At 55.4% G+C, this 21,718-nt stretch overlaps 8 annotated features.

Annotated features, from left to right (window-relative positions):
• Positions 163-672: an enhancer, noted in NCBI's record as "H3K4me1 hESC enhancer chr17:48001781-48002290 (GRCh37/hg19 assembly coordinates)". NCBI's record gives its function as "activates a minimal SCP1, AML or CMV promoter by ChIP-STARR-seq in primed H9 embryonic stem cells {active_cell/tissue: H9 hESC(primed)}" and the evidence as "EXISTENCE:reporter gene assay evidence [ECO:0000049][PMID:30033119]".
• Positions 8,534-9,046: an enhancer, noted in NCBI's record as "H3K4me1 hESC enhancer chr17:47993407-47993919 (GRCh37/hg19 assembly coordinates)". NCBI's record gives its function as "activates a minimal SCP1, AML or CMV promoter by ChIP-STARR-seq in primed H9 embryonic stem cells {active_cell/tissue: H9 hESC(primed)}" and the evidence as "EXISTENCE:reporter gene assay evidence [ECO:0000049][PMID:30033119]".
• Positions 9,820-11,019: an enhancer, noted in NCBI's record as "MED14-independent group 3 enhancer chr17:47991434-47992633 (GRCh37/hg19 assembly coordinates)". NCBI's record gives its function as "activates an origin of replication core promoter dependent on BRD2, BRD4, P300/CBP and CDK7 cofactors, and independent of MED14, by STARR-seq in HCT116 cells {active_cell/tissue: HCT116}" and the evidence as "EXISTENCE:reporter gene assay evidence [ECO:0000049][PMID:35650434]".
• Positions 9,820-11,512: a biological region, named in NCBI's record as "MED14-independent group 3 enhancer GRCh37_chr17:47991434-47992633".
• Positions 10,957-11,512: an enhancer, noted in NCBI's record as "H3K27ac-H3K4me1 hESC enhancer chr17:47990941-47991496 (GRCh37/hg19 assembly coordinates)". NCBI's record gives its function as "activates a minimal SCP1, AML or CMV promoter by ChIP-STARR-seq in primed H9 embryonic stem cells {active_cell/tissue: H9 hESC(primed)}" and the evidence as "EXISTENCE:reporter gene assay evidence [ECO:0000049][PMID:30033119]".
• Positions 11,513-12,068: an enhancer, noted in NCBI's record as "H3K27ac-H3K4me1 hESC enhancer chr17:47990385-47990940 (GRCh37/hg19 assembly coordinates)". NCBI's record gives its function as "activates a minimal SCP1, AML or CMV promoter by ChIP-STARR-seq in primed H9 embryonic stem cells {active_cell/tissue: H9 hESC(primed)}" and the evidence as "EXISTENCE:reporter gene assay evidence [ECO:0000049][PMID:30033119]".
• Positions 15,384-15,884: an enhancer, noted in NCBI's record as "H3K4me1 hESC enhancer chr17:47986569-47987069 (GRCh37/hg19 assembly coordinates)". NCBI's record gives its function as "activates a minimal SCP1, AML or CMV promoter by ChIP-STARR-seq in primed H9 embryonic stem cells {active_cell/tissue: H9 hESC(primed)}" and the evidence as "EXISTENCE:reporter gene assay evidence [ECO:0000049][PMID:30033119]".
• Positions 21,201-21,702: an enhancer, noted in NCBI's record as "H3K4me1 hESC enhancer chr17:47980751-47981252 (GRCh37/hg19 assembly coordinates)". NCBI's record gives its function as "activates a minimal SCP1, AML or CMV promoter by ChIP-STARR-seq in naive H9 embryonic stem cells {active_cell/tissue: H9 hESC(naive)}" and the evidence as "EXISTENCE:reporter gene assay evidence [ECO:0000049][PMID:30033119]".

Here is a 21,718-nt window from a genome sequence, read left to right as displayed (position 1 = left end):
CACTCCTGTCTTTCTGTCTTTGCATCTGTGTCAACATCTCCATTCATTTATTCATTCATTCATTCACTTATGAGTAAGCACCCTCATCACTCAGTTTGCATCCCCTTGGTAACCCTGGATCTTTGGGGGAGACAGGAGACCCACTAACAGAGCACATCATGGTGGGTCTTGGTGGTTCTGAGCAGGTCTCTGTCCTGTACCATGTAGTCCCTGACTCCTTGACATTGACCTCCTCGGGGGCTGTGTCACCATCTCCAGATCTTTGTCGGGCCTCTCTGTGGCGTGGGGGTGGCCTGTGCCGCCGGGCTTTGGTGGTTCCTGCCTCCCTGCCTCCCTCAATCTGTGAGAGGAGGTTCTGCCACCTTTTGCCCCTGCTCCTGTAAAGGGCATCCGTGTTCCAAACCCAAGACAATGGCTGTGGCCCTGGTGGGGGTAGCTGGGCTGGAGACCAAGAGTTCGGCCTAGGAAGGACCTCTCTTTTTCCCACTTCTGACCCCTTCTAGTCATCCCTGGGCCCAGCACAGTGCCTGCCATCCTTAGTCTGGTGAGGTGACATCACCAGGGCTCCCCGCACACACACACACCCCACAGCAGCTGTGACTCCCAACAGCATCTCACCATCTCTTCTCTGGAACATCAAAGGCCCAAGCAGCAGCGTCCCCCTCCTCCCGGGCCCCGGGGGGTAATCAGAGCCAGGTATGTGTAAATGCTGGGCCTTCAAATAAATAAATACTGGAACACACGGGGCCTCCCACCCCTCGCTGCTGCTCGGCGCCCTGGGCTGGGACCTAGGCACGGGGCCAGCCCCTGACGAGGTCCTGGGGACCGCCTGGAGCTGGAGGTGTGTGTGAAGAGTTTCGCGTGGGCTGAAGCCTGGCTTAGCCTCAGCAGCATCAAAAAGACTGTGGCGGGGGGAGAGGTGTGTGCAGTGGGAGCTGTGTGGGGAGGGAGGGTCCCGCTGCAAGTTTCCCCCATCTCTCACAACCCCACCAACTCTGCCTCACATGCCAGGCACCCCTCCTTCCACACCTTCAACTCCAAAGCCAGGCTGCCTCTTCCAGCGAGGCCAGATGGCATCCCTCAGCACTGAGGAGGAAGAAAATACAGGCAGTGATTGGAATTTCTGGAAGGATCCCCTTTTGCCAAACCAGGGCCCTGAAGGTTCCAATGGCAGGGAGCAGTGGGTGAGCTGTACCAGGCATCTGTGGGCCATCACTGCTTCCACAGGTGAGAAGGAGGAGGCTGGACTATTTGGTGCCGAGGCTGAAAGAGAGGGTGGTCCCTGGAACCCCTTGTAGGGCAAGCAGCTTTCTACTCCTTGGGGGCCAGTGGAGATGCCAGGAGGGCGGCATGAGTGCAGGGCTCGTGGTACCTGTCTTGCTCATCAGCTGTGTGACTTTCGGCCAGTCACTCAGTATCTCTGAGCCTCAAGTTTCTCATCTGTAAAATTGCGCCCCCCACACTGCCTCTCCTACAGGGGAGCAGAAATGCTCAGTGAAGACCACCTGGATGAGGCTCTCCATAAGCTGTCAAGTGCAGCGTCCCCATGAGGCTAAACAGAAGGCACCTTGATGGGGGTGGGGGTCCCCATGAGTCTTTGACTTATAGGGCCTCGCACAGAGTAGGTACCAAAAATATGTTGTCCAAATAATTGATTTTGAAAAATATGAATGGACAAGTGAATGTTCTAGAAGTGACTTCTTTTTTTTTTTTTTTTTGAGACGGATTCCCACTCTGTCACCCAGGCTGTAGTGCAGTGACGCGATCTCAGCTCACTGCAACCTCCACCTCCTGGGTTCAAGCAATTCTCCTGCCTCAACCTCCCAAGTAGCTGGGATTACAGGCACCTGCCACCACGCTCAGCTAAGTTTTTGTATTTTTAGTAGAGATGGAAGTTTCACCATGTTGGCCAGGCTGGTCTCAAACTCCTGACCTCAAATGATCCGCCCGCCTCAGCTTCCTAAAGTGCTGGGATTATAGCCGTGAGCCACCGTGCCTGGCCTTAGACTTGACTTCTTGACTCTGTTTAAGTTTTTGGCCGTGCCATCCTCACATCGCCAGCTTTTTGGCTCAAGGCCCCTTGGAGAATCTGACAAAAGCTATGGATCCTCACCCCAGACACATGTACACACACAAATGATTTCTGGGATCACACTCCCAGGCCGGGGCCAGAGCTTCTGCCTTAGTGTGGGTACATACACCCCAGCTCCTCAACACCCACTTGAGAAGCACATTCTCCATGCGGGAGCTTTATGTGTACGATCTCCGATCCACCAACAACTCTGCAGGTGTTATCATTCCCTTTTCCAGATCAAGAAACTGAGACCCAGCAACATGAAGGGACTAGCAAGGATCAGCAGCGAGGATGTGCTGGGGACAGGGTTTGCTCAACATGTCTGGCTCCAGAGTTCTCTGGGGCTTCAAAGCCTGGGCTTTTTCCAGGCTTTGCTCCTCAGAAGTTAAGGTTCTGTCTCTGGGTCTTTGTGCCCCCAGCTGGGGCCCAACACATGACAGCACAAAAGGCACGCCCGGCCTTTTCTGAGAGGATGGTGAGTGAGCGGCCCCCAGGTTGAGGTGGACAGAGGCAGACTGACAAATAAAGAGGGTGAATTAGAATGTGAGGCCCAGAGAGAAAGTTCTGATGAGCTTTGACCCCATGCTTGGGGCCAGAGGCAGAGGGCAGAGGGTAGAGGGCAGAGGTCAGGGAGCAGGGAGTAGGAAGCAGGGGTGGGACATTTTGGGAGGTAGGGAGAGGAGCACAAGGAGGCTCTAAGGCCACAGGGCAGGGATGCTCTCTCTGGGAGGACTGCTGGGAGTAGGGTGGGCGCAGGTCACACTTCCCTGAGTGGGTCAGAGCCGGTTGGGGTCGGGGAGCTTGTATATATGAGTCACATTCGCAGGCATGGATGAAGCAGTTGCTCACTGTGCCCCCATGCTGGGCTAAGCAAGTTAAACACTGGGTCCTGCTCCTCTGAAGTAAGAAAGAATGACTGCTGGATGCACTTCACAGAAAAGGAAAATAAACCACTTGCCCAAGGTGAGCCGTCTAGTAAGTGGCTTCACTAAGCACAGAGTATGCAGGAAACATCATCAAAGAAATGGATGCGTGGTGGGATGGATGGATGGATGATGATGGATGAGCAAACCTAGGTCTGATTCCCAAATTGAGCTCTTAACTTCTCCCTAATCCTGGGGGGCAGTAAAGAAGAGAGGGGGGCTAGAGCCGTCCAGGGTACCCAAAGGAGAGGCACCCTGGCTGTTTTCCTTACCCCATCTCACCTGGAATAAAATCAGAAGTCACAGCCACAGCCTACGAGGTCCTGTGCCACCTGACTCGACTCATCTCCTACCACCCTCCCCTCCATTCATCTACTCCAGCCCTAGTGGACTCCTTGCTACTCTCTCAACAGGCCCACTCCCCTCACCTCGGGGCATGTGCACTTACGATCCCCTCTGCCTAAGATATCTTCCCCCAGCTGCCCACCTGGTTCTCTCTTCAAATGTCAACTTCTTGAGAGGCCTGCTGAGATCCTTATTTAAATATCACTTGGTCACTTGGTGTCCCGTTACCCATTTTAATTTTTCTCCTAAGCAATCATAACCAACTAATATCTATTTGTTTGTGTCTGACTTTCCCAACCTCACTCAGGAATAGAAACTGCAAAAGCAGGGGTTTGGTTTTGTTTGCAGCTGTATTCCCAACACCTACAACAGTGCTTTGTACAGAGTCAACATCAATGAATATTTGCCAAATGAATGAATGAATGAATGGCTCTGACAAGTCCTGAAAGGAAGAGCAGGATCTCCTCATAGGCACCACTGGGTTCAAACATGTGCTAAATCTATGTAAGACATTGCCCCCTCCTCCAAGAAGCCCTCCTGAATTTGTACCTTCTTCAGCAAGAAGCCAAAACTCCCAGCATTAAGAACTTGCTGCATCCAGTAGAACACAGTGCCTCCCCTCCTGCCCTCTCGCTCCCCCACCTTGATCTCCTTTCCCTGTGATCTTTCCAGGTGAGCGGAAGGGAGAGAAAAGCCCGGACCTGGGGTGCCCGCTTGGCCAGCCTACAGCAATGGTGCCCCAGCCAGGAGGTAGGAGGAGGCGGTGCCCCAGGCTTAAGGCATGAATGGGGCAGGAGGTGGATGAAAGGCAGGACTGCTCCTGGCCTAACGAACAAAGGGGACCAGAGCAGGTGTGAGGGGGACTGGGGGCCAGCCGGGAGGAGAAACTGGATCTGGAGCTGGAGATCAGTTTCACCTGCAGCAGTGCAGGTTTCCATTAGCTTTCTTTGGCTGTCACTCATGCTTTGGGGACAAAGCTCAGGCTGGAGGTTGAGGAGAGGCAGAGGCCAGGGAGCGGGGGCTCCTTTCTCTCGGGGTCAGTCTCCAGCAGCGTCTCTACTTCCCAGGAGGCAGCCACACAAGGTCAAAGCCCAACAGGAGCTTAGAAAAGATAGTCCAATGCTATCATTTTACAGATGGGACCAATGAAGCCTCCAGGGTACCATGACTCACCAAGGTCACACAGCTACTGGCAGAGCTGGGACCTGAATCCAGGAGTCCTGGCTGTCAGGTCAGCGTTGGGAACTGATTTTTATATGCAGCCTGTCCTCCCTCCTGGGGGCCTCTCGGTATGATGTGATCAGGAAATCTCTATGCGGTTAGACCAGGTCTGGATGGTACATGGAGAGGAGTGGGTAGGCCTGGGTGAGGATGGGACAGGGTGCTCCCCAGACAGGGGTGCCATCAGCAGACAAGTTGGGCAGGCAGGGCTGGGCCTGGCCTAGGAGAGGCCCTGCTCCAAAGAGCAATGTCATGTGGAGGGGACATCTTGCTCCCACACAACCGCCCGGGGCCAGGCTGAACCCCACCCATGCAACAGCTGCATTGCCCCAAGCTACAGAGGAGCCTATGAGGGGAGCCAGAAGCCTAGGCAGGGGTGAGAGGGAGGGGGCCGGACAGGTAGGAGGGCAGAGGGAGGGGGAGCTGGAGGAGGACAAAGCTGGCCTGTGTGGCACCTGGGACAATCCCAGTCTCTGCCCTGTCCCCTCCCTGATCCTGCTCTGGATGGGGCGGGAACAATGCCCCCATTGAGGCCCATACCCCCAGGGATAACATCTCTGTCCCCCATGATGGAAGCCAAGCAGGTGAGCCTGGTGGGGGCTGGGAGCCAGCTCTACAGCAGGGAAGGCAGGACCTCCGCGATGGGGCCAGGGGTCCAGGGGCAGAGGCTTCCCCACTGGAGCCACACTCTGCTCCTTCCTCTGGGGCCAGAGCAGGGGGACGTGGTGGTGGCCTCGGTGGGAGAGATTGGGGTCAGACTCCTGGGTAGGGCAGGGATCACTTCCCAGTTTGGACGGAACCCTTCTCTGCCCTGGGAGGGAATGCAGGAACGCCCAGGACCCAACCCCTGATCATAGGAGCTGCCACTGTGGGAAGAAGGTGCCTGAGAGATGAGGCCTGACCCTCTTCCTTTAGGAGAGACGCCACAGAGGAAGCAGGTGGAGCGTGGGTCTATCCGGGAAGTAACAAGTGCCCCTGCAATGCGTTTTCATGTCAGAAATAGAAATGGCTCATCACCTAGTTGGGGCACCAACTGGGTTCCTAACCCAAAGACTCCAAATAAAAGAAGAAGCTGCATTTGCTATCATTTTTTAAAATTTTGTTTTGTAGAGATGGGGTCTTGCCCCCACGTTGCCCAGGCTGGTTTCAAATTCCTGGCCTCAACCCATCCTCCCGCCTCGTTGTCCCAAAGCACTGGGATCACAGGGGTGAGCCACCAAACCTGGCTGCTATCATTTAAAAAAGAAATCCAGGCCAGGCGCGGTGGCTCACGCCTGTAATCCCAGCATTTTGGGAGGCTGAGGTGGGTGGATCACCTGAGGTCAGGAGTTTGAGACCAGTCTGATCAACATGCTGAAACCCTGTCTCTACTAAAAATACAAAATTAGCCGGGCACGGTGGCACATGCTTGTAACCCCAGCTACTCGGGAGGATGAGGCAGGAGAATTTCTTGAACCTGGGAGGCGGAGGTTGCGGTGAGCCAAGATCGCACCATTGCACTCCAGCCTGGGCAACAAGAGCGAAACTCCATCTCAAAAAAAAAAAAGAAAAGAAAAAGAAAAGGAAAAAGAAATCCAAAAGTGTGGATTTATAACTTTATTGATCATCCATCTGAATTGGGTGGCTGTATGTAGGCTGAAGCCAGCACTGGGTAAAAGGGCTCCTGTGGGGGCCTACCCCCACACTCCTTGGCTGTGTGACCCTAGCAGGAAATGCAACCTCTCAGCTCAGTAACCTCAGCTCTGCAGTGTGGCTGGAGGCCAGAGAAGCCTTACCTCAAAGGGTTTGTTAATGGTCTCTCTTCCCCTGGCCTCCAGAGGACTATGAGGCCCTGCCACTGTGAGCCCCTGGCCTGGAGCAGTGGAGCAGTACCCAGAACATACTAGACACAGAAACGCAATCACTGGAGCCAGGGGGCAGTGGCTCATGTCTGTAATCCCAGCACTTTGGGAGACCAAGACAGGCAGATCACCTGAGGTCAGGAGTTCGAGACCAGCCTGGCCAACATGGTGAAACCACATCTCTACTAAAAATACAAAAAATAGCCGGGTGTGGTGGCGCATGCCTGTAATCCTAGCTACTCTACTCCAGAGGCTGAGGCTGGAGCATTGCTTGAACCCAGAAGGCGGAGGTTGCAGTGAGCCAAGATCGCACCATAGCACTTCAGCCTGGGCAGCGGCGTAAAAAAAAAACTCAATCATTGTCTGCTGACTTAATATGTTCTTTGGGGTTTTTGTTTGTTTGTTTTGAGACGGTGTCTCATTCTGTCGCCCAGGCTGGAGTACAGTGGTGTGATCTTGGCTCACTGCAACCTCTGCTCTCAGATTCAAGCGATTTTCTTGCCTCAGCCTCCCGAGTAGCTGGGATTACAGGCACACATCACCACGCCCAGCTAAGTTTTGTATTTTTAGTAGAGACGAGGGATCACCATATTGACCAGGCTGGTCTCAAACTCCTGACCTCGAGTAATCGGCCCGCCTTGGCCTCCCAAAGTGCTGGGATTATAGGCATGAGCCACTGCGCCTGGCCCTGCTGACTTAATTTAGAACAGAGTTGTGGACAAATGTTTTTAAAGCATTAGTGGTTATAGCAATATTAATAGCAATCCAATGACATGAAGAGAGACTCAGTTCCTGCCCTGTAGAAACCTGCAGTTCAATGAAAGAGTCACTGGGCACAAGGATGACAAAAATAATCTACCATGGAGGTTCAGGGAAGAGTGGAGCTTCCCAGATGGGGGCCCAGGAAAGGTGTTAAGGAGGGAGAAGCACTGAGATGACCTCAAAGGATGGGTTAGACTTGGGCAAGCAGTGATGAGAAGATGGGAGGTCCTCAAAGCAGAGGGATGGAAATTTATTGACTGTTAGTTACATTTGTTGAGCACCTACTGTATGCCAGCTACTGGGTACTGGGGACACAAACATAAAAGGATGTGCCAGGGCTGGGCATGGTGGCTCACGTCTGTAATCCTAGCACTTTGGGAGGCCGAGGCCGAGGTGGGTGGCTTGCCTGAGTTCAGGAGTTCGAGACCAGCTTGGGCAACACGGTGAAACCCCATCTGTACTAAAATACAAAAAATTAGCCAGGCGTGGCGGCAGGCACCTGTGGTCCCAGCTACTCGGGAGGCTGAGGGAGGAGAATTGCTTGAACCTAAGAGGCGGAAGTTGTAGTAAGCCGAGATTGCGCCACTGCACTCCAGCCTGGCGACAGAGCGAGATTCCATCTCCAAAAACAAAAAAAAAAAGAAGAAGAAAGGATGTGCCCCTGCCCTCAAAGAAACCAGCCAGCAACTCAGTCACTGCCTTGCTGAGGGCACCAGCTTGCATCAAGAAGACATTTTCTGAGCTTCAGCTAAAAGTTGCAGTTAAGAGTTCTCCAAGCAAGGTGGTTGGCAAGGGGTGAGTAAGGTGCTGAAGGTGGAGTGGCTTTCATGCGTAAAAGTGGGCTAAGTGCCTGGGGCCCACTCAGAGAAGGCCTTGAAAGGCAGACAGAGGAGTTTGGATGTTTCCCTACAGGCAACAGGGAGCCATGGAAAGCTTTTGAGCAAGGGAAGTCCACGCTTACAGCAAAGTCCTTCAGAGCTATCCCTGGTGGCAGCAGAAGCCAGAGTGGAGGTAGGGAGGCTGGAGAAGAGGGAAATAGAGAAGCCCACGTGGGCCTGGTGGGGAGGAGGGGCAAATTAGAGATGGGAGGGAAGGAGACAGGATGAAGGTGAAGCAACTGACAACTGGAGAGAAAGCTACGAACTTCAGATCCTGGGAGGGAAGAACTGGAGGTGGAAAACCTCCCAGTACCCTAGAGCAGGAAGGACACCTTGGAAGAAATGTAACGGAGCCCCCATCCTGTGTGGGGGTCCCCCCTCATGATAGCTCTCACAACACTTCAGTGAGGGGAAGCTTACCACCTATCAGTGAGGCGAAGCTTACCACTGGCCATTTAGCCCAGTCTGTGGTGGGACAGCTCCAGCTAATGGGTGAGGGCTTCCATAAGTCCTGTTCAGACAGGTAAATGTAAAATGGGTCAATGAATGGATAGATGGATGGATAAGTGGGTGGGTGCAGAAGAACACACAGGCATGGAGGCAGAGGGTTCAAAGAGCAGGTCTCCACATCCCTGCACCCAACCCCGTCGCACCAGTCCTGATCCTCCCTCTATCTTTCCTACCCTCCTCCAGGAAGCCTGCCCTTACCTCCCCACCCATCCAACTTTCTCCTCAATCTCACCTGCTTCCCCAGCTCTCACCAGCTGGGGTGGCCTTCTCCCTAGCTCCTGCCCTCCCACAGCAGCCTGAGAGCTACAGGAGCAGGGACAGAACTGAGGGTCAGGGACAGAACAGGGGCAGGGACAGAACTGAGGGTCATGTCCCCTGGAGCAGCACGGCATGTTCCCTGGTGTCCACACAAAACCCTGTTTCCAGGGGACCTCGGGATGGGGATGTCAGCAGGGGAAATGGCCCAACCTGGTCCTCCAGTCTGTGTCACAGGCATCCGCTTGCATTGCAGGCACGAGTCGAGGGGCGGGTAAGGCAGCCCTGAACACCCACCTAGATGGGCTTTCCTCCCTCGAAGCCCCTCCGCTGGGAGTGGAGGGACATCCGCTTTCAGCAGGTCCCCGCTGGGGCCCTACCCTCACACTTTACACAGCTGAAAAAGGGCTAATGACCCCTCTCCACCAGCTCCCAACCCACAGGATGGACAGAGGAATGCTGGCCAGGGCTCGGCAGGCTTCACATGAAAGCGCACAGAGACCTGTGAGGAATTTCACCCTCCTGGGGATGGGTGTGGGGAAGCAGAAATGTCACCTGGAAACCATTCACCCCTTTCTTCCCTCTCAAGGACCCTCAGCCTTGAATAATTAGGAAATCTAGACCCCCAAAATCAACCATGTCTTTTTGATAGACTTGCCTATACTTCCTGGCCGCTCCTCTTTTTAAACAGTTGTCTCTTGATTCTCCAACTAATAATAATAGCAGAAGCACTCACTGCATGCCAGGCACTGCTCCAAACTCTGTGAACTCTTTCCAGCTCGATCCTATCATTATCCCATGAGCCTGGTACTTATTTCCTCATTTTACAGATGCCAGCACTGGGGCACAGAGAGGTTAAGTCACTTGCCCAAGGTCTCACAGCAAGCAAGTGACAGGGTGTGAGCCTGTACCCTTATCCACTTGCCAAACACCGGGTACCCCACAAGTCATTTCCTTCTGACCCTAGAGGGAGCTGGAACCCCAGTTGGTGACAGGGTGAGCAGAGGGGAAACTGGATTTAGAGCTTGTCCAATTTCATCCACTTGCCTTTGCAACCTATGTCAGAGGCAGCACCCTGAGCCAATTCTTCAATCCAAGGGGGCAAGAAGAGGCCAGAGGCAGGCAGAGAGGGTTTGCTGTTCCAATCCAGCCGGACCCTGGTTAAGGGAGACGGAGAGCCACATACTCAGCAATTGTATCACCAAAGGGAGTGGCATAGAGCTTGAGAGGGAAGGTTTTGGATGCCAATCTCACCTCCACTGCGTACAGCTGGGTAATCTTGGGCACATTATTTCACATTTCTGAGCCTTAGTTCTGTCATCGGTAAAATGGTGAGAGTTACTGAACCTATCTCCTAGGGCTGTGGAGAGGATTAAACATGGCATCTGTTAAGATGCTTAGCCCAGTGCCTGATACCTAGAAGGCCCTCAGTAAAGGTCAACAGTAACTACAACCCAGCTGGCAGAAAAGCTGTAGCATCAACAAGAAGTGGGGAGCGGGCCTCCCTGGGGCTGCTGAGAGGCACCCGCAGCCTTGCTATGTACCCTTGTCCCCAGGAGGAACCCATGCCTTCATGGAATTCTGAACTCATCTGTGGCCAAACCCATGGGTGGGAGCTGTAGGGGGGAGAAGCAGAGTGCATCCACTGGGCACAGACCCCTAGCACCTTACAACCAGAACAGAGCCAGAGTTGAAGCCAGATCGACCCTCTGTGGGACTTCCCCTGCCTGTGTCACAGTTTTCCCCTTGGCAAAATGAGGCTGTTCCACTTGCCTGAAGGCTGGCACTCAGTGATGTTTATTTTTTGTCTTCTCTCTGTCCAGTCTCCTGGATGCCCGCAAAGACAGCTGTCTCCTTAATGGGGAGGGAAGATGGCCGCAGGCTCCATACCTTTGAGGGAACAAGGACAGTCCTCCCCTGGGAGAGGAGCAGATGTTTGCCTCCAGCTGTTTGCTTGTAATCAGTCCTGGGAGAGAGCAGCCGGGGGGGCCTTCCCCCAGGGATTTTGTCTGAGAGTGGCTGAAAGTGGCCTCCCGCCTGGAGCAACAGAGGGCTGAGCAGCTGGAGGAGGGGTGAGGCATAGGAGGCTTTCTCAGAGGGCCATGGCCTGAGCCCTCTTTGCCCTCTGGGCTCTAAGTCCTTAGACACTGGGCCCATGGGCTGGTGGAGAAGGGAATGCACCCAAACCAGACTCCTGTCCTCCCACCTTGCCCCCACTGGGTCCCTCCAATCGTCTAGCCTCAAACAACGTCATCTTCCTCCAAGTGCCCCAGGTAATGCCCTGGAATGGCCACCCCTACTAGCCATCTTGAAATACTCTCTTCCTTTCCTCTTTCTCCTCTGCCCTCTCTTGCCCATCTTCCTCCTCTTCCTCCTCCTCCTCCTCTTCCTCCTCCTCCTCCTCCTCTTCCTCCTCCTCCTCCTCCTCCTCTTCCTCCTCCTCCAGGAAGCTTTCCAGCACCCAGAAGAGGAGGATGGGAGATAGTTGTCTCCATAGCCTCCCTGCCAGGATCCACCCCTCCCACCTGCTGTTTCCCACCAAAGATGTTGAGTCATGACTTAGTGTTGGACTTAGTGGTATGCTGAATCACAGACCCTACGGAGAGCAGGGTTTAGGGACAAAAAGGCTGCAGAGAAGCCACGTGAGCAGATTCTGAAGTCAGGCAGACCCAGTTTGGGCTCCCCATTCCGTGGCTCTCGGGACAAGCTAACTGAACCTCTCTGTGCCTCAGTTCGCTCACTGTGGAGCGGTGAGATGGGCATGTGAAGTTTTGTGACAGTGCCTGATGCTATCATTATGATGACGATTGCTACAATCCCAGCATCTAGGGACCATATCTTAGGTGCTCAGGTTCTTGGGATCACAGGACTGCAGAGTCTTAGCTGCGGGAGCCTCGGAAGTCATGTGGGTCAATTCACTTTCTCACCTGGCTCCCTCCTCCAGCCTGCTCTTTCTGGAAGCATCAGTCCTGAGTTTCTGAGAGCAAGGACACTTCTGTGACTGTTGCCACTCATGGCACCTACCTGGGGGCATTTTGATGACAGATGACCCAGGTGGGTACGTAAGCCTCTTCCTGTCCCAGTCTAGCTAGACCCCAACCCCCTACTCCTAGAGTTCTTCTCCCTGGCCCCAAGCAGATGTGAACCAGTAGAGTCACCTTCAGCCCATGTGAAGCCCGTCAGCTGGGGCCTGGGGCCTGGGGCCTGTAGAAGCCTCAGCCTCAGTGCCCTCTCCCTTCTGCCCAAAGCCCTGACCTCCAAGACCCTAAGGCCGGGCAAGGTAGGCAAGAAGATAGGTCTCTGCCTCTTTCAGGCCTGGCACACTCAGGGGGCTGGAGGCCAAGGATTGCGTGGGTCTGGCTCCCTGCTTCCCCATCCCTGCTCAACCTGGCGGGCTTCTGGCACGAGGCAAGCTTGGGAAAGCCTCTTTCATGGTCTGAGAGGTGTGCATGGCATGTGTGGAAGGCTTTCTGGGCTCTGAGAAGGTGGGGACTGAGGAGCAGCCTGGAGAGCAGGGAAGAAGAGGGCGTCGAGGAAGAGGAGGGAGGGAAGGAGAGGGACAGGGCCAGGGTTTTCCACTAGGAAATGGGGGGTGACTGTCAACAGGGAGTTCAGGGAACAACTGCAGCAGGAGAAACACCTTCAGAGAGCTGGCGTAGCCGTTGGCCTGCATCGGGAATGGAATCCTGTTAGTATTTGGTTGCTAACTAGGAGTGTGATGTGTACGAGGCCTCTGGGCTGTCAGCTTGCTCTCCCCCATCACCAGGAAAAGTGGTGAGTTACCCCACCACCAGGTTCCCAGGCAGAAGGCCAAGGAAGGCGTTGGTCAGGCTAAACGCTTTGAGATCTTCCAAAGGCAAGGAGGTGATCTACAGGAGGACTTTCTCCCCAGGACTCTTCCATCCTGCGTTCCCCACACCCAAGGGAAACCTGGGCCCCTGTCCCCTGGGAGAAGTCATGTCCCGTGAGTCCCATGCCTAGGGATCAGGAAGGCTCCTTGAGCCCGGCCAGCTCTCTGGACAGGGGAGGCCCAGCCCTAACCAGTCAGTTCACTCTGGGCAGTCACCTGTCCTCGCCAGGCTCTCGAGTTATTTTCCCACAGCCTCCTTGCCCTGTGCCCAGCTGGCACTAGCATAGGACATGCCAAGGGGTGAGGGAGCTATCCTGGGTGGGTGGGTTCATCAGCTGCCTGGACCAGGAAAGGAGGTGCAAAGGACAGGCAGAGCCTCTGAGCCCACCCCCAATCTAATTTACCCCAACTCTGAATCTCCAAAGCCGGCTTGTAGATTTCATCCCAGCTGCCAGATCCAAGCACTCTCTGTTACAGGCCTTTGAGAAGCTTTGGGCTCTGGAGGAGGAGTTGAGGGTGGGATGGTGGGGGCAGGGTGCAGTGTTAAGAGATGGGAAGGGGGCTGGGAAGGAACTCTGACAGCCCTCATGCCTCTAGCGGAAACTCCCGCCCTGCCCCTCTGCCTTCCCTCCCTCCTCTTCCTCACCCCTCTTCTTCCCTCCTCTCCAGGCTGCTCCTCAGTCCCCTCATCTGGGAACCCTTACAGAGGCCACTTCCCTCCTGCCGGGCTCAGCTCTCCTTGTTGCCACCAAGTGTGTATGTCTCAGGCTCCCTTCATAGGGACTTGGTACTATAGCCTTTGCCCCCCATACCTGGCTGCCCATTAGGGGCCCCCAGGAAGTAGGGCAGAAACATGTAGCTCTGCCAGGTATGGAGCACATGGCCCGTCCCTGGGCACCAGGCCTGGTAAACAGCCTGCTCCTGCTGATGGAAGCAAAGGGAACAATAAAACCAAGATCCCTGCACCTGGTGCCCGAAGCCCAGAGACCAGCCTCTAGGTACTCAAAGCCTTTGGAAAAAGAACCAGAAACAGGCCAAAGGGAGCGCCCCACACTCCCCAGGGGTGACAGGCATAGGCCCCACCCATCACCCAGAGACTGCACCAGGAGCTGCCACCAATCTGCCTTCCCAGGAGACATGCCACCCAGCAACTGGGCAAACAGCCACTCTCCCCAAGCCACTTCTCCGGCCTTTGCTGAGCTTCTCCCAAGAGGAGACATCTCTCTCCTGTCTCCAAAAATTGCCCCGTTTTGCTCCTTCCCGCCCTGCTCCACATTTCCCTTCTCCGGGAAGTCCACCGTGGTTTCTAGCCTCCACTCTGTTGGCTGCTTTTCTTCTCCTCCAACCCACCACTAGCGCTATGGTTCTAGCACCAGCACACCTGTGTATAAAAGGGCCCGCACAGTGAAGAGTAGAAGGAGGGGCTTATTCTCGTCTTGTATTGCTCAGCTACCTGCAGCATTTCAGTTTTCAAAACACTTTCCCATACAGTGGCTCAAATCATCTTTAAAAATGACTGAAAGAGGTAGGCATTTTTATAGAGGACACTGGAGCCCAGAGAGGGAAGGAGATTTGCCTAAGGTGACCAAGCCTAGTAGCAGAGTCAACCCGGGTTTTCCTGACCTTCCATGACTCAGTGATGCCCGACTTGATATCAGGCTTAGTCTGGGAGGGCCACCTGGAGGAAGTGTGCGCGTGCGCGCTGCCAGGCTTGCAGTCAGCGAGCCAAGAGGCAGACCCAGGTGGAGAAGGGACGAGGGGTCGTGGCCAGCGCTGCGCAGCGTGGGAACCAGCTGAGAGCGCCGCTGGGCCGGAGCTCGGGGAGGGGGCGCCGCGCCGAGCTCACCGCAAGGTTCCACCCCTCGGCGGGCACAGACAATGGGGTCGCTGTGCCGGGCCGCCCCCTCCCCTTGCTCGGCGGCCCGCGTCCGCCCCCTCTCCCCAAAGCTGCTTTCAATTTAAACGCCTCCAACCAGCGGGCGCTGCCCCGGGGGGCGCGACCGCAGCGCCGAGCGCCCCTGTAATTTCCGCAGGGAGCTGACCGGCTCAAACGCGGCACCGCGGTGCCCCGACCGCAGGCCCCGAGACCGGAGACGGCGCCCAGACTGCCTTGCCCGGGTCGTGGGAGCGCCACCGGGGCGGCCTCCTCAGCGCCCAGCCTGGCCCTGCCTCCTCCTCCAGGCAGCCCGCCGCCACCGGGAGCCGCTCCTCCAGGAAAGCTGAGTGCCTTCCCCACACCGCTGCTGCCTCGCGGTTCCTCTCACCTCCGAAAGCCCAGCTCCCTTTTGGAGAACAGGGACGTGGGGAGGAGGCCAGGGCGGGGTTGTCCATTCTATTTGTGCATCAAGTCTTTCCCATCAGACTACAGGCTCCCTGAGGGCAGGGGTTGTGAGGGGAGGTACGAACTCGGGCAGTGCTGGGGAGCTCCCTGAGGGCAGGGTTCGGGTCTCCCTAAAAGAGAACGAGTGAAATGACGTCTGTAAGCGTGGCAGCCTGGTGCTCAGACCTAGAGCAAGCTTTAAAAAAAAAAATTCAAGGAATACTGCTATTGATTACATAATAGTTTCTCTAAGGTAAGGCTGGAGAGGAAGAAGTCACTGTTCTTCCCTCACTCTACCAGTGCCTGCCTGGCTCACAGCTCTCTTCCCCAGAACAGTCGAGAAAGGAGGGGACACTTTCCCCCTTGCTGGGTCTCCTCACCTCAGGAGCCCTTCCTGGAATATGAGTCTGGGGGAACGCGAGGGTTCCATTGGCAGGTTAGAAAGAAGGGGCCCCAGCTTCTTGGCTCCCAGGGAAGGCCCTAGGCTGGATTGTCTCAAGGAGCGGGTGGGTGAGGGCAGGACGCCGGTGGACAAGGGCAAAGCTGTCTGCAGATCCCTCAGCTCTGCAGGGACACAGCAGAGTCAGCGGCTGGACACCAGGAACTGTCTGAGCTGCCAGCAAGGGGGCTCCAGGGTGGGCGTTGCGTTGTGCCAGTAGACATGTCTGCCACAGCCCCTTTCCCAACTGAAGTGTTTGTTCCGTTCACTGTTCCCCGCTCCCCTCTGCCTAGAAGCTGCGCCTAGCCATCCTCCCTCCCAGGAACTGCAGCGGGTGAGAGGTTGCATTTTGAATACCCTTGGGTGAGTTGTTTAAAGGACCTGGTGCCCTGATCACTGCCACTGTGGGCCTGTGTAGATGGACTCCTTTGCAATTTTCCAGCTCAGGGTGCGTGTGTGTGTGTGTGCGAGTGTGTCTGTGTGTGTGCCTGTGTGTGCCTGTACCTGTGTGTGTGTGTGTGCACCCACACGGGTGTGCCTGTGTGTGTGCACCTATGTGTGTGTGGCTGTGTGCATGTGTGCACCTGTGTATGTGCAAGCCTGAGTGTGTGGCTGTGGTGCGCCTGTGTGCATATGTGTGTGTGCCTGTGTGCGCCTGCACGCACTTGTGTGTGTGTGTGTGTGTGTGTGTGTGTGTTCTGAGCTGTGGGGAGGGAGCTCTGCTGGGGTCCGTGGCTTGTCGTGAGTGCTCTGCTCCACCTTGTCCCCTCCCCCACGTTCCAAACACCCCTCTCTTTCCAGCCTGGCTGTTGTGGTGAAGCTAATCAGAGGTAATTACGGGGGAAGGAGGGATCCTGAGAGGGACCCCACAGAGACCACCTCATCCGCCCCAGCCCAGCCCTGGTGGCCCTGGCCTCCAGGGCCTAGGCCAGCTCAGTCTTGCCTGGTGAGGGTGAACCCACCAACACCCCACCCCATGGTCCTCTCTCTCCCGCCCACTCCCCATTCCCACAGCTGCAGGTAAGGTTCACACATCTGGGTTTTCCTCAATCTCCCCAAAGCTGCTCCATATGCACTCATTCATTTCAGATTTTCTGGGCACCTCCTCTAAGCCAAAGCCCACACTGGGCACCTGACAAAAACTGGTCCCTACCCTCATGGAGCAGCTGCTAGGATTTTGGTCAGGGTAGACTTTGCAGGGGCTGGGGGCATAGCCTTGGAAAGGCAGAGGGTCCCTGCAGAATCACAAGCCCCTTCAGGGGAGGGCCTCCCTTCTACCACCTTGCTGATGCCAGAGGAGTGGAGCTTACCAGCCCAGAGCTTCTCGACTTCCACCACTCCTAGCCTGTCATGGCGCCCATCCTCCCTCCCACCCAGTGTTGATGGGTGTCAGGCCACACCCTGCTCTGTCTCCCTGTCCTGACCACCTGTCCTCCTCCTGCAGCTTCCTCCATCCACTTGGGTTCCCCCTGCTTTTCTGCTGGGGTGGGAAGGGGGTCTCTCTGCAGTGCAGAGAGGCTGGATTGAGAGCAGCATCTCTCAGTCACCTCCTTGGGGTTCACGGCCCCAAGCTGGGAGAGCCCTTAGAGACCAAGAAGATCAGCTGTCTCTCACACCCTAGGAAATTGAGGCCCAACGGGATGGGGAGTCCAAGGAGTCAGGGTCAGCGGAATTAAACCCCAGTCTCTGACTCCCAGTCCAGTGCTCTTTCTGGGGAGTCCTCCCCGAGCCTGCATCTGGAGGACAGAGTCCAGGCCTGTTCCTTCTCCCATCCCCTCACTGTGCCCAGAAGGAGAGAGGAGCAAACAGGGGTCCCCACCATCCTGCCTTTCTGTCCTGCCCCACTAGCCTGGGCCCAGAGACAAGGCCGTGGGGTGGGAGGGACCACAGGGGGCTTCGTTGAGGGTCTCTAATTTCCTCCTGCTCCTTGATGTCCAGAGCAAAACAGGCCTCCTCTGCCCAAGAGATTTCCAAGCATAAACAGAGGTCAGCGCCCCCCTTGCCCCGGAGGTGCCAAGGTGGTAATTAGGCTTGGGGGTGCATCCTGGAAGGGTGGGGGTGGGGCGGCCATTATCCTGGGGAGCTGCGCTGGGCAGAGGAGCTGTGCGGTCTGGGCAAATGGGTGGTTTGTAGGTGGTCTGGGGAATGAATGACTGAGTGTTTGGGAGGGAAGCTTGCGGGAGGGAGGTGGAGGGGGAGGGAGCAGAGGGATTGGAGAGTAGAGCCCGGAGTCTTCCCCCCAGTTCACTGGTCTGAGCCCTTGCTCTCATTCTGGAGGCATCACTCTGAGACATATAGGGTGGGGGGTGGTCTTGGGGATGCCGCCTGGACAGTGGAACACCTGGGGCGCTGTAGCAGGGAGCAGGCTCTCTGCTGAGATCAGGGGCTCTGGAGAGTCACCATCTCCCCACCTGCTCCCTCAGCTTCTGGAAGGGTGCAGGGAGGAGGCGGGTGGAGGTGGTTCTTGCACAGGGTCCCTGGCATGCTGCAGGGTGCTGGCTAAAGCACTCCTGTGCTGAGCCTGCTCCCGCTTTGTCCCCACTTCCAGCCGTGTCTAACCCCTCTCACGGTGGGGACAAATTCCTTCTGGGATGAGAAAGACCCTTTGACTCTCAACCCCAGGAGCTGCAGATCCACAAGTCCCCCTGCTCTGACCCCCACAATGCCCCATCCACTGCTGCTCCGGGTCAGGCTGCACCAGGTACACAGTATCAGGGACTTCTTCACCCTGAGCCTTGGTTTGCCTACCTGTAAAATGGGGGTAATACAATATTTAACTGTGAGGACTAAATAGACCAGGGTCAGTGTGTGTGAAATGGCAGTTATGGCAATGACTAATGCCCCAGAAGATGTCCCTCACGTCTGGAGGCCGGGTCTCCTCCCAGGAATGGTTACCCGGAACCCATGACTGGCTGTGACCCCTGGCATAGGGACAAGGACCATGGCTGGCAGAAGGTGGGGTGAGTAGGTCATGGGTAGGGGTGGGGCTGCTGGGACTGTCCACTGGCATCCTGCCCAGGCCCCGGGCACATTCCTCCTCCCCCGTGCTCCCTACCTGCCGGATACCACCTGTGCTGCGAGTACCACCACTCACATGGCCTCTGCAGCAAGAGAGACTGCAGTGAGACTACCAGACACAGCTGCCCTGAGGAAAACATTGAACTAGGGGAGTGGCCCCTATCTGGAAAGCCTGCTGGGGCATCTTAGCCACTGACCAGCACAGAGGAGACGAGCGTCTGTGTCCTGGTTTCATCTTGTGTCCTTCGGGAGTCTGGAAGCATCTTCAGAACAGGGGCTGGGTCTCCACCCTCAGATTGAGTAGTGGTTCCCAGAGGCCAGCTCCTGTGTCCCTCTGTGGCAGGAATTGAGCCCTCACCATCACATCAGATTCTTTTTTTTTTTTTTTTTTTTGAGACGGAGTCTCGCTCTGTCGCCCAGGCTGGAGTGTAGTGGCGGGATCTCGGCTCACTGCAAGCTCCGCCTCCCGGGTTCATGCCATTCTCCTGCCTCAGCCTCCCAAGTAGCTGGGACTACAGGCGCCCGCCACTACGCCCGGCTAATTTTTTGTATTTTTAGTAGAGACGGGGTTTCACTGTTTTAGCCGGGATGGTCTCGATCTCCTGACCTCGTGATCCGCCCGCCTCGGCCTCCCAAAGTGCTGGGATTACAGGCGTGAGCCACCGCGCCCGGCCCACATCAGATTCTTGAATGGAGAGCTTACCCCAAGAACCTGACCCAAGGGGACCGGGCTGCAATTTGATAGGTTAGTCTGGCTTCTTCATGGGTTCAACAGCCACGCCCCAGCCCTTGCTCAGATCCAAAATTCTCCACTGATGGGAAAGTATCGGGGGAAGAGAATTGAATTGGAAACCCTGGGAAATGGCCTGCTGCTGTCTGCTTGGAAATGGCTGCAGTGGGGTGGCGGGGAGTGTGTGTGCGGAGGCGGCCTCTAAAGCAGGGTCACTCCCCAATAAATCTCCCTCCTCCTCCCTTGTCTGCTCAAAGCCAGGCAGGCTAACCCCTTCTTTCCTCTATGCTCTGTTCCTAGGGAGCTGGAGGAACTGCATGGCATTTAGTGTATGGGGGTAGGAGTGGGGGCAAGAAGGACACCTTCCTCCCCAAAACCTACAGTCAGTCCAGTGGAGGAGCAGTCCTGGGTGGTTGGGGGCTCCTGATACCAGGACCACCATCTCCCAGCAGGAAAGAAGCCCCTCCCCTGCTGTCTGGAACAGCTCCTCTCTATGCAAACATGGATCACCTGGGGTTGGGGAGCATTGAGGGGAGGCTGGCTGGGCCAAATGGAATGCTGGTTCATAGGCCAGAACTCGGAAGATTCTCTGAAGCATCTTGGGAGGTATGAAATAAGAGTCACTTAGAGAGAGGACAGAGCTTTCATGAAAGAGGATGACTAGGAGGCTGTCTTGTCCATCCCTTGCTTCTGTGCCAAGCCCCACTATTTCTCGGGAATGTTTCCTGCTTTCAGGTCTATTTCCATGCTCATTCAGCGTGGAAGTTTGCATACCTTCACCTCAAAAATAAAAACACACTTATTAAAGACCTACTGTGCCCCAGACCTACTGTGTGCTGAATGATGGTGTTCTAAGCACGAACGAGCAACCCTCCCTTCTCTCGGTCGCTCACCGTCTAGGGGCTGCAACACATGAGACAGGCTCCAGTTTAAAACAGAATTAAATGCAAGCTAGGTCAGAGATGCCAAGAAATCTGGGGGCACAGATGGGAAGTTCGTTCTGAAGAAATAAGCCCCGCCCCAAGCATTCGAAGTAACAAGAATCCAATACACTGCAGTGCCTCCCATGCCTAGAGGCCTTCTCCGAGTCCCCAGTCTAAATCCCATCCCCATTATAACCTCTCTTTGAGTTCCTAAAGATACGCTGAACTTAGAGTTTGTTAGGATATATTTATTTACGGGATTATGTGATTAATCCTCCTCCCCCACAACACTGTAAGTGCTAGGAACAAGCTTGTCTATGAGCCAAGGTGGTCGGCCATGAAAATGCACAGCAGGTCTGGGATAAGACGAGCCATAGGATGTGGCTGGAGTTGAGGAGATAAAGTACACAGTAGGGACCCAGGCTGGCAAGGTAGGTTGGCACCAGATCAGGGCAGGCTGTAAATGCCAGGCAATGTTGGAACTTTATCCTGCCGGCAATGGGGAGCCATCAAAGGTTTTTGAGCATAAGAGTGGCATGCTCCAACCTGTGTTCTGACATCCCTCTTGGTGCAGTGTGGAGGAGGGACTGGGGAGGGAAGGGAGGACGGGGGTGTGCTCCTGGGAGTCAGGGGAACCAGCCACTATTGCAATAGTCTCAGGGGCTGGTTAGAAAAGGTGTCAACTGAATCAGGAGCAATGGAAATGGAAAGCAAAGAGGGTACCTTCAAACCACTAATGCTGCAGAAAGGATGGGACTCAGTGGCCAGTTGGATGGTGAAGGGAGCGGAGCACTAAGGGTGATTTGCAAATTTCTAGTCTTGTTATATTGGAGGTGGTAACACCTTTAAGCTGTGTAAAGCATACCCAAGGAACTAGTATTCAAGGGAGATGGATATGCAGGTTGAGAAGTCCTTTCTGAGATCTACTCTGCAGTTCTACTGTAGCTAAAGCCTAGATTCTCTTGCCCCTCCTGGAAACTCAGCTTCAGGGTGGTATACCTTCCCCCAGGGCAGTGAGGCTCATAGAGACCACTGAGGAGTGAGGTGGGGGGTGGTTAGGGCTGGGCATGAGGCCGCCTGGCTTCCTGCCGCCTCTTGGCACTGCCTCCTGACTTAGCCTCTGATTTCCTGCCCCTCTTGACACTCCCAGCCCCTTATAGGTGGCGGGGGAGGCTCCCAAGGAGGCTGGATGAGTTGGAGAAGAGATCTGGGAACTCCCAGGCCATGGCCCAATTCAGTGAGGGTTACCGACATGCTTTGATCTCTGGAAGATTCCCTTGCTGTTAGTTAGAGGGTGGAGCGGGGGTGGGGGAGAAGGACACCTGAACTTGAGGCAGGTTTAGCCCCAAGAGCTTTGCCCTCCTCACCTTGCCTACCAGACACGCTTGTACCACTGCAACTGTGTTAAAACAAAAAGTATTCCCTTGGCCCCTGGATTCTTAGAACTCTTAGCAGACCAGAAAGGAGGGTCTGGGAGACAGATGGGGTTGAGGGGAAACTTGAGAGTAACATCACCTTACGGTGTACTGGATCCAGCAACAAAGAAAGTACAGAGGGCGAGCCCAAGCCCCAGGATATGGGCAAAGAATGAAAATTGTCCAGGGCCAATTTTCAGTGGGGAGCACAGAT

The sequence above is a fragment of the Homo sapiens genome, chromosome 17 (assembly GCF_000001405.40).
Source record: "Homo sapiens chromosome 17, GRCh38.p14 Primary Assembly".
In the NCBI taxonomy this organism is placed as follows: Eukaryota; Metazoa; Chordata; class Mammalia; order Primates; family Hominidae; genus Homo; species Homo sapiens.
This window is presented reverse-complemented; position numbering and strand designations above follow the sequence as displayed.